At 36.8% G+C, this 16,987-nt stretch overlaps 2 long non-coding RNA genes across 9 annotated transcripts in view; one reads left to right on the forward strand and one right to left on the reverse strand.

Annotated features, from left to right (window-relative positions):
- LOC124902137 (uncharacterized) overlaps window positions 1–16,987 on the forward strand; it is a 137,318-nt gene that overhangs the window by 41,431 nt on the left and 78,900 nt on the right. The gene's annotated exons all lie outside the window — the stretch shown is intronic.
- LOC105376011 (uncharacterized) overlaps window positions 1–16,987 on the reverse strand; it is a 36,289-nt gene that overhangs the window by 8,042 nt on the left and 11,260 nt on the right. For 6 of the 8 annotated variants that reach the window (XR_001746643.1, XR_929547.2, XR_001746644.1 and 3 more), the window contains 2 exons: window positions 15,881–16,030; window positions 10,289–13,165 (listed from right to left, as the gene is read on the reverse strand). This is a non-coding gene — a long non-coding RNA (uncharacterized LOC105376011). Of the gene's footprint in view, window positions 1–10,288; window positions 13,166–15,880; window positions 16,031–16,987 lie in introns of those variants that run through there. The other 2 variants (XR_929543.3, XR_929544.2) reach the window with 2 other exon arrangements.

Genomic DNA, 16,987 nt, shown 5'->3' on the forward strand with positions numbered 1-16,987 from the left:
TTTTCTATGGGGCATTACACAGTGGAAGTCCAGGATCCCCTCATTCTGTTTACTTGAACTGTTGGTTTGGATTCTACTATGTCCTCATCCCCATATTCCTGATTAACGCTATGAGCTATAATGCCAAAGAGTGAATAGATGGAGATATCCCTGTCTTAAATTTATTCTGGTCTTTTGAGCTCAAATTGGGAGGGATGTACTACAGCATCACCCTGCTACTTTCTCTGCCTATATGAAGTGAGAACTGAACTCTTCAAAAATAATTTAAACTATCAGAAAATTTAAAAATTTCAGATGATTATGCACATATCCATTAAATGATATAGATTTTACTAAGTCTGTTTTTGCCACTATGGTTTCCCCAGCATCTAGATACAGAAATCTATCAATAAGGAGGTGTTGAATGAATGAGTAATAACAAAGCATAATAACCTATTGCTATAGTCATGTTGAATTAGTTACTGTGCTCATAAAGTATTCATTAGTTATTGTTTATAATGTTAGCTAACCCTACAGTGGAAAAGTGTGTCACTTTAAGAACTTTCCAGTTGGGTACACTATCAAAATAGGAATGCCTTTAAAACTCAGTTTGGTACACTCAAGCAGGGGCTTTATGTAAAACTTGCTCCACGTTAAAGTGCTGATCATTTCTTAGCCTAGCATGAATTCCTGTATTCAATTCCACAGGTAACATCTTCTTCCTCTTGGAATTCTTCTTTATCAAGTGTCAAGTAATGGATGGTTCACTGGACAGGGAGTCAGGGGAGCTGGGTTTGACTCTTGGCTCTGCCACTTACAAGGCTGTGTGTCACAGGAGAACCTCACATAATTCTCTAAGCCTCTTTTGTTACTTCCACTCTGAACATCATAGAACAACAGGACTGATTCAAGAATTTTTGTGTCTTTTCCTCCTAGTGTGCGTCATGTTATAGGCACTCATTAAACATTAGTTCCCTTTTTTAGTGCAAGTAAAGGAATATTTTACTTTATTTTTCTTTATATAGCTTGAGCAAATTTATGTTAGGCTATGAAGAAAGTAAAACTCTATAAATGTAAACAGGGATGGGCAGCTTTTATTATATTCATAATGAAAAAGCATGTACTACCCAGTTCTTTAAGTACCAAGAAATGTGCTTGCCCTGTTTACAATATATTTTTATTGTAAATAGCTTACTTCTCATTCTCCCAATACAGACTGTTCTCTTATTTGTTCCAGAAATTCCATGATGTTGCCAGTCAATAGACATGTCCCTATACCCTGTAACAGGTGTAAACTGCTCCCTACACCAAAACTAAAGATATTCATGAAAACAAATAACTTGCAGCTACACATTATTGTTAGGTCCTGAGATAAGCAGTTGTTCTCAGACATCTCTGGACATTAAAGTAGATATAAATATTCCCAGCTCTAGAAAGGGCAGGAACATAGCCAATGGTACCTCCCTTCAGCAATCTGCAGGATCACCATTTCCATCTCCCTAATCTGCCCTGTTGTCTACCTTGCTCTTTTTTTTTTTTTTTTTTAAGCGGAGTCTCACTGCGTCGCCCAGGCTGGAGTGCAGTGGCCTGATCTCAGCTCACTGCAACCGCCTGCTGGGTTTAAGCGATTCTCCTGTCTCATCCTCCTGAGTAGCTTGGATTACAGGTGCCCGCCACCACACCAGGCTAATTTTTGTATTTTTAGTAGAGATGGGGTTCTACCATGTTGGCCAGGCTGGTCTTGAACTCCTGACCTCAGGTGATCTGCCTGCCTCAGCCTCCCAAAGTGCTGGGATTACAGGCATGAGCCACCATGCCTGGCCTACCTTGTTCTTTTAAAGCAATGACTCTGCATCCAAAAATGAAGCATGGGAGGGTTTTTTCTACTTTATCAATGTCTTTATTAAGTTGCACTAGGTTTTGAATAGCTTTCCCTTTATACCACACATCTTTTCTCTCTATTATTTACAAATCCTTGAATTGTTCATTCATATGTGTGGAACCTTGAAAAGGGATATTGCTGGTATAATATCGACTGGTCAGGAGTGTTGGGATGAGTGTTTTGGGACAGTCTCCAGACTGTAAATGTGTGTTGATTTACAGCAGGTTATCAGGATATCAGGGTCATGGGATACTAGCACCAAAACCAAGAACTACAAGGAGCTTCCCCTGTCAGGCATACGTTATTCACTATTGAAAGTCAGGAAATATTTTAGATTACAAGGAAATTATTCTTAATATTTTTTGGCAAGGATTCCTTTGAAATTCTGAGGATATATGTGACTCCTTTCACAAAGAAAACATGCATATTCAATATTTCATACTCCAAATCAAGAAGTAGAATTCTTGATCTGAGACATTTAAAGGGCCATGATTCCCAGGACAAAGGCTGTGGCGGACTTTTAATTGCCACCTCATAACTTTATTTTTGAAAATTAGAACACAAGAGCCAGAGAGAAATCCCCAGCGGCAGCATGGTCTGGTGGACTGAGCACTGGCCTTGGAGTCAAACAGGCAAGTGTTTCATTTCTAGAACAGTAAGTTTTCAGTTGAGTGACTTACCTTAATCATTTTTACAAATGAGAAAACTAGACTCAAAGAATTTAAGTAATGTGTCAGAGTTTGTGAAGAGTAAATTATGAACCCATATCTGTCAGGCTGCAAATTTATATTCTTTCTAGTATGTTGTATTGATCAGCAAAACAGGAAAGCTAAAAATGACATTTTTTTCTTATTAGCTCTAAACCCATAAGTCTGTCATTTGCAAGCTTATGGCAGATGGAGAACATTGAGGCCAGGGGAAGCATTTAGAAGACTGCTTGATATCCAAGCAGAGTGAGTCCCGGACTCTGGCATAAGAAGCACCAGAAGTTTGGAGCAAGTAATTCTTAAGCAGAAGAAAGAACATTAGGCTTACATTAAGTAGTGCTTGATGGGAATAAGTATTGTGATATTATTTCTTCAAATTTGTCTGTAGTAATACTGGTTGAGTATCCCTTATTTGAAATTTTTGGCACTAGAAGTGTTTTGAACTTTGGATTTTTTTTTTTTTCAGATTTAGGGATATCTGCATTATATTCAGCAGCCCTAATCTGAAAATCCAAAATTGAAAATGTTCAAAACTCTGAAACCTTCTGATATGATGCTCAAAGAAAATGCTCATTTAAGCATTTCAGATTTTGGATTTTCCGATTAGGGATACTCAATCTATTCAAATCACTTTATTTTATATTCAATTAATGTTGATACATAGCTGTTTCAGCAATGCAGTCTGCTTTTAAAAAGTTATCTTAAAATGATCTAATAAAAAATAGGCAAGTGTATTTCTTATGTATAGACTACTACTTTAAAATGACCAAAGAAAAAATAGGTTTCTGTGTTTCTGAAGAATAATTGCTGGATTTATAATAACTGAGCTTAGCTCCTAGCTCTCTCAATTATTAGTTAGATGACCTTAGGCATGTAACTGAACTATGGTTCAACTTCCTTACATATGAAATAGAGATGATAATATTTCCCACACATAATGCTTATTTGGCAATTAGGTGAAATAATGTAGAAGGATGACTGATGAATTAGAACATGAAAATTATGCTAGAGGTTTCAACATATAATAGAGGTTGATTCAGAATGTCAACTTGGAGCCCATTTTCTATGTCTTTGTAAAACAGCTTTTCTATCTTGATGTGCACAGTTCTGGACAGAGGGTATACCAATTTGCATTTGGAGCCCAGGGTCCTCCTGGAAGGGAAGAAACTGAGACACTAAGATTAAAGTTAGGAAGAATGTATTGAGGCAGGACAGTGTGATGCTAACCAATGCTAAGCAGCAGGTAAGGACAACAGAGTCCCTGAACTAAAATTTTACTTGGTATCAGAAAATACTGTCTTGTAGACTGGCTTAGCACTAAATCTGAGAAGAGGCAGGAGTATCAGAAATAGAGAGGAAAAAGAGAGCCCACCCAACCCAGCTGTCTTGAAACAGGCTTCATTTTGGGAAGGTGGCCGTGTGAGTAACATACAAGCATTATCCTCCAGAGATCAGCCAACTTGGCATGGAATCTTCTCTGCTACGGAGTGGACCATCTTATCTCTGGAAGTTCCTGCAGCAGAGCAGGAACGTGTACTAGCACTTGTGGAGAGGAAAAGTGGGAGCTCAGGTTCAAACATATGGCCTTGAGTATGACCCTGATCCCGGGGAACAGTGCTTCCTTGCTTCCTCTTGGTAGGAGGAGCTCTGCCACAGAGATAATTATGCAGGCAACACTTTTCCATTGCAGAGAAAAGTTCCTCTCTGAGACCTCAGAAGATGATTTATAGATGTATAGCCTTTAAGGAAACCCAGGTAGCTTCAATCGCAACAACAATCAGTTGCAGCCGGAACATTTGTTGAGCACAGCATGCTGTGTTCATATTATCTTATTTAATCTTTAAAACAACCTTAGGAAACTGGCACTATCTTCCCATTTTACATATAAGAACACTGAGACTCAGCAAGGTTAAAAAATGTGCCTGGCTAATAAACAGTGGATCCCAGATCAGAAATCAGGTCTGTCTGATTCTAAGCCTCACACTAAACTCATATTCTACTTCCTTGAAATCACTTCTTGACACAGTTTTTGACTTTCTGACAGGCCAATATTTGCACTGCAGCTATTCTTATGGAGTAGTTCTGCAAGAAAAAACTGTTTGCAACGGGCTATTGCAGAACTCACATCCCTGGAGGCTTCAGCTTCAAATTATATTCCAGGTTTTCAAAATCTATTAGGTTTAAAAACAGCCTGGGCTTTTTCTCCCATCCATGTTTAGGATGGCATACGTTAACTGAATATTCTAACACATTTGCAAATGCAATCACCCAGGCGGTATATTACTGGAGCAGCATACCCAGACAGCTATGCAAATGAAAAATACCTCTACTTTTAAATGACCAGTAGACCTCTAATGACTTACTGTCAAATAAGCACTGTTGGTTTGTGGGCTTCTCTGAAAGGATCCCAGCACTCTAAATTTGTGAAACTAAACTTGACGTCTTCAGTGGTAATATGAGTATAGTATGGTGATTACAATTAGTTTAGATTTATTTAACTGCATAGGCACTCAACTTATGAATTTTTCCTCATGCTAAAGAGCAAAATGTGATGCTTCTTACAATGTCATTTTGATTCAACTCGGTTTAACCCTGTCTTTTCAAGCCTAGCCTTCCCCTTTTCATCAGGGGTACATGCTAATAAGTGCAGGCAAACTGTCTAAATATTTGCAACAAACCCTGGGAGCAACTACATTTTTAGCAAGTATGAATTCCACAACATCCAGTGAAAGGATGCTGTCTCAATGAACTATACTCAAAAAGCTAAGAGACTTTTCATTTTATTTTAAACACAAGACTAGTAATTTTACTTTATTTGAACTTAAATTCCTGGAAGGTGATACTTTTTGAATTCTGTAGTTAAGAAGACTATTAAAAATTTTTGCTGACACTGAAAGAAAGTTATTTGCTATTTAAGATATCTGAGTGTAAGTAATGTGACATCTAAAGCTGAGCATATGCAGAAAGGAAACATCTGCAGAAGCAAGCATGAGTGTAGTATTCTGTACTTACTCTATTCACCTATATTCAGGAAGGTAACATAACAGAAAGGTAAGAAGGCTGCTCTAGTCACCTTAATGGTATATAACAGCCTACCTTCTATATATATATATGAGAACTTTTGCACCATGGATATGTTTGAATGCAATCATTTTTAACACAGCAGTCATTCTGACTCCATAGGATTCATATGAGCAAACCTAACAGTAGCAGCTTGGCAAGTCTGAAAAAAAATGAAGTAGGTTCATTGAGATGAAAACTAACTTGAGTAGAAACCTCTATAAGTAAAATGAAAACAAAAACAATTCTGAGGTGAATAGAACAAGAGGGAAAGGCATTAAAGATTTCAGAAATCTCATGCAAGTATCCCAGGGAATTGAGTATTCTTGCTTTATTGGGATATAAATCATTATATTTTATGTTAAGAGAGAAAAGCATCTTAATTAGTGCTATTTATCATCAATGAGAACATTTGTAATTCCGTGGTATCTATGAGAGGCTAAGGTCTCCTTGTAAATTATTATCATTATCATTATTAAACATGTGTTCCTATGTAACCTAAAGTAGCAGAAGGTTTTACTGAGAAAATTGGACAGCACTTTCCTATGTGAGTCAACCATAGTCCTTCAACTTAGAACAGAATTTCTCAGGGAAAAGGCACCGGACTTGCCCATTTTGTGTAAATCTCCAGGGTAGATACACTACCCTAGATAAAAGGTATGGTGGAATCTCTTATTTATACCTCTACCTTCTCTCTATTTTTCTGGGAAGGCAAGGCTTTTAGAGATGAGTAAATTTTCGTATGAGTAAAATAGGAATGGGATAAAGATTGGGATCATTTCCTTTGGGAAATGTAATTTTATTATTACCCATTCTGATGGTTGGTCCATCACCAAATAAACAAGAGTGAAGGAGGGAGACTGGTTGGGAGACTACTGCAGTAGCTTAAGCAACAGATGATGGTGCTTTACACTATGCTTTTAGTAGTGGAGATGGTGAGACGTGGTCTGATTTGGGATAGATTTTGTTCCAAGAACTAAGATTTACTGATAGAATGAATATGCACCATTGAATCTTTAGCACCTAGCACAATATACATGACATAAATAGTCAATGGGTATAGAAAGATGGTTCAAAATGAGGAAATCTATCAAGTCAAAGGGTAAAAAAATCCACACAATCATCTTGATCAATAAAACTGACAGTTTGCATATATGAAATGCAAAAGGACTATAAATAATTGAAAAGAGTGAAGCTTCACTAGCAGGTGAGATAAATTTAATTATCACCCATAAACTAGAAAACAACTGTGTTGCTTTTTGGATTTATTATCCAAAATGGCGAATTGTTGGCTAGAATGTAGAGAAGTCTCTTCCTTATCTTTTATAAATCTGTCCTTGACCTTAATTTTTTCACAGTAAACATATAAAATCTCTTTAATATAAATGAAGTTATTTTGTAAAAGGTGGACAAACAATATTAGTATTGAGATTTTGAAAAGTTACAAATATCTGAATATGTTTGATAAGTTTTCGTTTAAGAGTTTATAGGGATGGACAATCTAAATCAATGAAGTATTTAATGGGGTTATGAGATGCTAAAACACACATGTAATTTCTCCCTCTGTATTATTTTCTCTAATGTTACTACTTTCTTTTACCTTTACAGGTGTATTTCCTTAGAGTTCTTGGGAAACCATATGGCTAAAACCTTGATCAATACGCTACATACTCGGAAACACTGAATCTTTCTAACGGGAAAAAAGAGGTTGGGGGCAGAATTTATAAACATTTCTTCTTCAGATTTATGATATAGTAAATATACAATTTTATTTTTCCTGTTAAAGACACAATTAGAGATCTGGAGTGGGCATCTGGCCAAGTCGTCTGGTTTTAGCTCTTTGTTTCAACTTCTCTCTTACCACATTTATCACCCTCCATGATTCCCCAGTGCAGATAGCATGGGACCTGAGAGGAGAGTGAATATCCCCAACTTCTGCAACGCCTTAGGCTGCTGCACCCACACTTTTGTGAGTAATCACATCACAGCCACAAAACTTCCATCTTCATGTTTACACATTGTTTTGTTTTGTTTTCTTGGAAATCTCCAGCCTTCTGTGAGTAGAACTTTCTCTGATAGGGCTCAAGCTTCAGAGTATTCCAGACTCAGTAAGTCTTACAGTAAACTCTCATATCTGTTATGCTCCTTCCCCAGGAAAAGAACCTTAAATTTTGAAGCCTCTGTACAAAAGACTTCTCTCATGTCCCAAAGAGAAAATGTTCAAACCCTTTTCAAGTCATTTGAATTGCCTCCTTATGCAACAGTAAAGCAGGAACTTCAACATTGAATGAAGTTACAAATGATACTTAGTGCTTGTGAAATGGTGAGCCCTCCTTAAATAGTTTGTAAGGTGAGTTAGTGAGTGAGTGAGTAAATACACAATGGTATGACCTTCATATACTGTGTATAGGAAGATACAGCCATCTCTGTGAAGCATCCCTCAAAGATATTTCTATATGAAACCGCAGGTTTAGAGCCTTGGCTCAGGAGGTAATATAAACCTGAGGTTAGATCTCGGCTCTGCTACTGGCCAACAAAATGACCTCAGTCAGTTGCCCAACTTTTCTAAGACTCAGTTCAGAGTCTTTTTGTAAAAGTTCAATAGGATCATATGTTAAACTCAGCATAGTACTACACTAATAGCACATATTCAATAAATTATAATAGTTATTACTGGGTTCACTTAAATCTTTTTTAAATTTTACTTTAAGTTCTGGGGTACATGTGCAGAATGTGCAGGTTTGTTACATAGGTATACACATGCCATGGTGGTTTGCTGCACCCATCAACCCGTCACCTACATTAGGTATTTCTCCTAATGCTATCGCTCTCCTACCTCCCCACCTCCTGACAGGCCACCATGTGTGATGTTCCCCCGCCCCATGTCCATGTGTTCTCATTGTTCAACTCCCGCTTATGAGTGAGAACATGTGGTGTTTGGTTTTCTGTTCTTGTGATAGTTTGCTGAGAATGATGGTTTCCAGCTTCATCCGTGTCCCTGCAAAGGACATAAAGTCATCCTTTTTTATGGCTGCATAGTATTCCATGGTGTATATGTGCTACATTTTCTTTATCCAGTCTATTATTGATGGACATTTGGATTGGTTCCAAGTCTTTGCTATTGTGAGTAGTGCTGCAATAAACATATGTGTGTATGTGTCTTTATAGTAGAATGATTTATAATCCTTTGGGTATATAGCCAGTAATGGGACTGCTGGGTCAAATGGTATTTCTAGTTCTGGATCCTTGAGGAATCATCACACTGTCTTCCACAATGGTTAAACTAATTTACACTCTCACCAACCGTGTAAAAGCATTCCTATTTCTCCACATCCTCTCCAGCATCTGTTGTTTCCTGACTTTTGAATGATCATCATTCTAACTGGCATGAGATGGTATCTCATTGTGGTTTTGATTTGCATTTCTCTAATGACCAGTGATGATGAGCATTTTTTCATATGTCTGTTGGCTGCATAAATGTCTTCTTTTGAGAAGTGTCTGTTCATATCCTTTGCCCACTTTTTGATGGGGTTGTTTGGTTTTTTCTTATAAATTTGTTTAAGTTCTATGTGGATTCTGGATATTAGCCCTTTGTCAAATGAATATATTGCAAAAATTTTCTCCCATTCTGTAGGTTGCCTGTTCACTCTGATGATAATTTCTTTTGCTGTGCAGAAGCTTTTTGGTTTAATTAGATCCCATTTGTCAATTTTGGCTTTTGTTGTCATTGCTTTTGGTGTTTTAGACATGAAGTCTTTGCCCATGCCTGTGTCCTGAATGGTATTGCCCAAGTTTTTTTCTAGGATTTTTATGGTCCTAGGTCTTACATTTAAGTCTTTGATCCACCTTGAGTTGATTTTTGTATAAGGTGTAAGGACGGGGTCCAGTTTCAGTTTTCTGCATATGGCTAGCCAGTTTTCCCAACAATGCTTATTAAATAGAGAATCTTTTCCCCATTGCTTGTTTGTGTCAGGTTTGTCAAAGATCAGATGGTTGTAGATGTGGGTGTGATTTCTGAGGTTTCTGTTCTGTTCCATTGGTCTATATATCTGTTTTGGTACCAGTACCATGCTGTTTTGGTTACTGTAGACTTGCATAGTTTGATTTGAAGTCAGGTAGCATAATGCCTCCAGCTTTGTTCTTCTTGCCCAGGATTGTCTTGGTTATGCAGGCTCTTTTTTGGTTCCATATGAAGTTTAAAGTAGTTTTTTCCAATTCTGTGAAGAAAGTCAGTGGTAGCTTGATGGGGATGGCATTGAATCTATAAATTACTTTGGGCAGTATGGCCATTTTCACGATATTGATTCTTCCTGTACATGAGCATGGAATGTTTTTCCATTTGTTTGTGTCCTCTCTTATTTCCTTGAGCAGTGATTTGTAGTTCTCCTTGAAGAGGTCCTTCACATCCCTCGTAAGTTGTATTCCTAGGTATTTCATTCTCTTAGTAGCAATTGTGATTGGGAGTTCACTCATGATTTGGCTCTCTGTTTGTCTGTTATTGGTGTATAGGAATGCTTGTGATTTTTGCACATTGATTTTGTATCCTGAGACTTTTCTGAAGTTGCTTATCAGCTTAAGGAGATATTGGACTGAGACGATGGGGTTTTCTAAATATACAATCACGTCATCTGCAAACAGAGACAATTTGACTTCCTCTCTTCCTATTTGAATACCCTTTATTTCTTTCTCTTGACTGATTGCCCTGGCTGGAACTTCCAGTACTATGTTTAATAGAAAAGTTTCTAGTGGTGCCTTGATGGCCTATGAGTGATATAATCAATTAAATCAGGAAAAATACAGAATGACCTGAGAAAATTTTTTTTCATCATTATAACTGTTACCTTCACCTACAGACTCATGGTCCAGAGTCAATATATTTTCTAAACTGCAATAAGATGACTAATGGGTGGGAGTGGATAAAATAAGTTCATTTGAACTCTATATAATGATATGCAAATTAGTTATTTTAGCAGGGTAGCTGCACTGAAGCTTCATCTAACTGAAAAATATTATGAAACATGATGTGTAATCATCATTTTGGCCTCTGCTATAGAGTAGTCATGATTGTAATTAAAGTTAATCACCAGTTATACTGCAAAACAGGAAATATTGTGATGGAGATAAACTGTGATAGAAATGCTGGGATTTAATCACTGGATGCTGAGGCATTGATATGAGGGGATGGAGAAAGCTGGCTTAGAAAAAAATGAAAGTGAAGGGCTTGCACGTGTCAAGTCCCTAGAAGATAAAGTGTACAATGAATTTTTTTATTGCATAAGTGGAGATGTCAAGCGGAGAAGTATCAGAGTCACAATTAATGAAAAGTGACATTTCAAAATGGAAGAATTTTTTTTAATGTTCATGGAAATATTCATCTTGAGATTCATTGCACACCAGGATGACTACAGTCAATAATAATGTATTATGTATTTGAAAATAACTAAGAGAATACATTTCAAATATCTCATTATTAAAAATGATAGGTAAGCAGGATGATGGATATGTTAAAGCAGCTTGATTTAATCAAACTGTATCATATACGTATATCAAAACATCACATTTTGCCCCGTAAATCCATACAACTATGATTTGTCAATTTAAACAGGTATCGTGGTTGTAGGGGAAAGTGGGCCATGATCTAAATACCTAAAAATAATGAAATTATTAATGAATTCCAATAAAAGCACATGTCAGAAATTATATAGCCATAGAGTGATGCTTATGGCGACTCTAGTACTATGAGAAAATAGTTATGTTTAAATACTAAATGAAGAAAATCATTATTGATTTTGAAGATGTTATAATTATATAAATAAACAGTACAAATTTTAAATAAATTTTAAATATTTGGTTATTTTCTTTGAATCAGGACTCAAAATAATATATTTCCTTAAATTGTATCATTTGTTTTTAGTAAGCACATATTGATTTATTCATCACAGTCTACAATGGAGAATGCAGGAAATGTTCTACATTGTGAAGTTCAATTGAATATTTCTCTCTAGAGCATCAGATAGAGTTCTTTAGGTGTGAAAGAATAATTTCAACTCAAAAAACAATTTATAAAAAAGACTAATTTGGGCCAGCTGGGTCATGAAAATTGAGTTAAACACTCACGTGATATATCTAAAAGTTGTCTTAAATTATTTACAATAAATGTTAAAATCTTTTTAAAATGTATATTTCTGTATTCTAAAAATCATAGAGATTCACTCTAGATATATTTGAGATAAAAGCATGATTCATAGAGTGGGTAGTATTTTATTTGTAAATGAAATCAAATATGGGTAATAGAAAGTGAAACAATATTATCATATGAAAATCTTTAAAAACAACTGTTGAATTTTTATTGAACTTACATGATAACCTTTGACTGTCTTTTCTGTTTCTGAGCATTGTCATAACTCAGTCAAATAACTATGCCTATAACCCATGTGATCAAATGGACAATTTTAACAGCTGATTTGGTTAGTTTTAAGTGAACTCCACTAGGCTCTTTGCTGAAAAATTACATTTAAAGCAAAATATGAATTTTATGTGGTGTAAGAAGTAGGAAGTTGTTTCTTTTTAGTTAATTTGAAGGGTAAAGGGAACTTGGTGGGTGTATTTAACTATAAATAGTTAGGCTATCACCTAAATTAGCAATGTTCCATGTAGGTAAAGCAAAATATGAAGCACCAAAGGACAAGTCTTTGACAACAGTAAAGTACTACTACATAGAGAAGGCAACTCTCTTGACTCATTGTTCAGAAATCAAATATCAAGACTAGGTTAAGGTCATATTATATTAAATAAAACAGCGAGGAATCACAGAAAATTAACAATTTTAGTCTTTGGGGCTGATTTGCCTTCAGTGTATTACCAGGCAGTTCAGGTTAAAATGTGTTTCTTTGGGTCACTCCTTTGGTGTGACTTTCCCTAGATAGTTGGTATCCTTGCTAGCTATTCTGACAGACTTCTGCGAATAGTTTAATGAAAGCTGCTTGCACTTGCATGAACAGCCAAACACTTCTCAATCTGGGCTCTGACACTTATAGCCTATGGGACCTTAGACAAATCACATAAATTACTTGAGCCTCAGTTTACCACCTGCAAAATAGTTAAAAGGATCTGTCTCTTATGGAGTTGCGTGTTAATTAAATCAAATTAAATGTCTTGTGGAAAATACTTAGGATAATATCTGGCTACCAGATAGGTATCTGTATCATTATATATTGTTTTGTAATAAATTACCACATATTTCATGACTTATCATACCCCTTATTTATTAACTCATTGTTCTTTAGGTGAGAAGTTCAGGGGGACTTACTTGGATTCTCTGCTTAGGGTTTCACAAGACTAAAATCAAAGTGTCAGCCAACTACATTTTCATCTGAAGCTTGGAGTCCTTTTCCAGGCTCATTTCTCTTATAGAAGTCAGTTCCTTGTGGTTGTCCCAGTTATCTTTTTGACTGTTGGCTGAAGATCACTCTAGGCTCCTAGACCTCCTTGCGTGAGGTCTCTCTTCACATGCTTTGATTCTCTCTGACTTTCTCTTCTTCCACCAGAGAGAAAAAGATATATATTATGGTATTAAATGGCTTATGTAATTAGATTAAGCTCGCCCTGATAATCTCCTTTTTAATTAACTCAAAGTAAACTGATTTGTAACGTTAATATATTTGCCAAATCCCTTTCGCCATGAAAGGTAGCATAATAACACTTGTGATTTCTCATCATATTCCCTTTTTTGGCACAATGCTTGCTTTTATTAATTTTATTTTATTTTATTTTATTTTATTTTTTATTTCCATAGGTTTTCAGGGAACAGGTATTTGGTTACATGAGTAAGTTCTTTTATGGTGATTTGTGAGATTTTAGTGCACCCATCACCTGAGCAGTATACACTGAACCCAATTTGTAGTATTTTGTCCATCACCCCCCTCTCACCCTTTCTGCTGAGACCCCAAAGTCCATTGTATCATTCTTATACCTTTGCATCCTCATAGCTATGCTCCCACTTATGAGTGAGAACACACAATGTTTGGTTTTCCATTCCTAAGTTACTTGACTTAGAATCATAGTGCTCAATTTCATCCAGGTGGCTGTGAGTGTTACTAACTCATTCCTTTTTATGACTGACTAGTATTTTGTCATATATATATACACATGACAATTTTGGGGATAATTGGCAAGCCACTGTGGGAGAATTAAACTGGATCCTCATCTCTCACCTTACACAAATATCAACTTAAGATAGATCAAGGACTTAAATCTAAGACCTGAAATTATAAAAATTCTAGAAGATAACATCAGAAAAGCCCTTCTAGACATTGGCTTAGGCAAAGACTTTATGACCAAGAACCCAAAAGCAAATGCAACAAAAACAAAGATAAATAAGTGGGACTTAATTAGACTAAAGAGCTTCTGCACAACAAAAGGAACAGTCAGCAGAGTAAACAGGCAACCTACAGAGTGGGAGAAAATTTTCACAAGCTATACATCTGACAAAGGACTAATATCCAAAATCTAGAAGAAACTCAAACAAATTAGCAAGAAAAAAATGACAAACAATCCCATCAAAAAGTGGGCTGAGGACATGAATAGACGGTTCTCAAAAGAAGATATACAAATGACCAACAAAAATATGAAAAAATGCTCAGCATCACTAATAATCGGGAAAATGCAAATCAAAGCCACCTTACTACTGCAAGAATGTCTCTAATCAAAATATCAAAAAATAATAGATGTTGGCATGGATGTGGTGAACAGGCAACACTTCTACACTGCTGGTGGGAATGTAAACTAGTACAACCACTATGAAAAACAGTGTGAAGAGATTCCTTAAAGAAGTAAAAGTAGAACTACCATTGATCCAGCAACCCCACTATTGGGTATCTACCCAGAGGAAAAGAAGCCATTATACGAAAAAAATACTTCTACATGCATGTTTATAGCAGCACAATTCACAGTCGGAAAACTATGAAACCAGCCCAAATGCCCGTCAGTCAACGAGTGGATAAAGATATTTCTCGTCATTTTCACAGTACCGGGTATTAAGTTGGGAAACCTTATAGGAACATTTTAGAACTCTGTCTACCAGACCCTCAATAAATGTTGTTAGTTTATCGTGCTATTTCCGAAGAAGCTGAGCTTGTTCTGTGCTAATTTTTATGTACATACTACATCTTAATATTATTCATGAAAATATTCACTATCTACACAGTCCATGAAAGATCTGGGAAATCCAGAACTGGCATCTTAAAAGTCCAGGCCTCAAAGCCAACTGATGGATCAGCTAAATCAATAAGGAACACCCACAGAGTGACATCAGAAATTCTGAAAAATACATAAAACAGCTGTGTATAGTCACTTTAATTAAATCCAGTAACAGGTGTTCACTTATGAGTTGAGAGCTAACGATTGCATGAGTCTGGTCTGAGCAAGGAAAACATGAAATACCATGAAAACAAGGAGGAAAAATAACGTAGACACTCCCTATAAACTGCATCCTTATTTCTATGATAGGTAGAATTTGTGCTAAAGTAACAATTGTTTTAAAACTAGTTAAAGTGGCCAGGCACAGTGGCTCACACCTGTAATCCTAGAACTTTGGGAGGCCAAGGTGGGCGGATCACGAGGTCAGGAGTTTGAGACCAGCTTGACCAACATAGTGAAATTTGTCTCTACTAAAAAATAGAAAAAAATTAGCTGGGTGTGGTGGTGGACGCCTGTAATCCCAGCTACTTGGGAGGCTGAAGCAGGAGAATCACTTGAACCTGGGAGGCAGAGGTTGCAGTGAGCCGAGATTGCACCACTGCACTCCAGCCAGGGCAACAGTGCAAGACTCTGTCTCTAAATAAATAAATAAAACTAGTTAAAGTATCGATTTAAGTGTCAGAGAGAACACTGAGTAGAATTAGAGATCAAATCTTGGGCTCTGGACCTTACTCTTCCACACATAATTAAGGAGATCAAAAAAATTAGAATGTTCTCAGTAAGTATGAGAGGTCAAGAAAGAGAATAAAAAACCCCTTATCCTCCTCTGATCAAAGAGTCCTAATTTAGTGAGGTCAGAACCACTGACAGCCAACTTTCTGATACAGTTTGGCTGTTTGTCCCCTCCAAATCTCATGTTGGGATATGTTCCTAAATGTTGGAGGTGGGGTCTGGTGGGATGGTGTTTGGGTCAGCAGGGAAGATCGCTCATGAATGGCTTGGTGCCCTCCTCCTGGTAATGAGTGAGTTCCCACTCTGTTGGTTCACATGATACCTGGTTGTTGAAGAGTCTGGCACCTCTCTCTCATGCTTCCTTTCTCATCATGTGACATGCTGGTTCCCCTTGCCTTCCTCCATGAGTAAAAGCTTCCCAGAGCCCTCATCAGAAGCTGAGCAGATGCTGGCACCATGCTTCTTGTACACCCTGGAGATTTGTGAACCAAATAAATGTCTTTGTTGTTGTTGTTTGTTTGTCATTGTTGTTTTTGAGATAAAGACCCAGGCTGGAGTACAGCAGTGTCATCACAGCTCACTGCAGCCTCAACCACCCAGGCTCAAGTCATTCTCCCACTTCAGCCTGTTGAGTGGATGGGACTACAGGAGCGACCCTCCACATCCAGATAATTTTTTTTCTTTTTTTGTAGAAAGAGTGTCTACTAACCCAGTCTATTCTTTAACTTCTGTCCCCAAGCGATCCTCCCACCAAGACCTCCTGAAGTGCTGAGATTATGAGTGTGACCCACTAAGCCTGGCCAAACCTCTTTATAAATTACTGTGCCTCAGGTATTCGTTTATAGCAATGCAAACAGACTAATACTCTTTCCTACTACATGGAAGAACCTGAAAGAAAAATGTCAAGGCATGCATCACATGTGCCTTCCTTGTTTATGCTATTCCTCTTCAAAATAACCCCTTAAAATTTTACAAATTAGAAAACAGAAGTTTGAGAAATTAAATAGTTATGTAAAATATCACAGTTGGTAAGGTGGCAGAGGCAGTTTTCAAGGCATATCCATTCCACTATAAATACTTAAAAAATATTATGCCACCTCCTACATTGGTAACATAAAAATGAGTGTTTCTCTTGAATGAAATTTTATTTCTCTGCATATTCACTTACTGAACACACATAAACCTATGTATGTAAGTGTATACCCATCTTGCCCAAACTTAATAGTTGAAAAAGGTTTAAACAGATTAGTCTATTTACTCAGTATCTAGAATCATGATAGCAGTCCCAGAATTATTACATGATTGGCAGGAAACTTAATCAACCTTAACTTGAAGTAATTGGCTAAACTTTCAACTCTTGACTTGAGACCAATTACTGTTCAGCCAATGGCACTCCAAGTTGGCTCAAGTTTCACGTTTGTCTTGCAAA

Source organism: Homo sapiens, chromosome 9, assembly GCF_000001405.40.
Source record: "Homo sapiens chromosome 9, GRCh38.p14 Primary Assembly".
Lineage (NCBI taxonomy): Eukaryota > Metazoa > Chordata > Mammalia > Primates > Hominidae > Homo > Homo sapiens.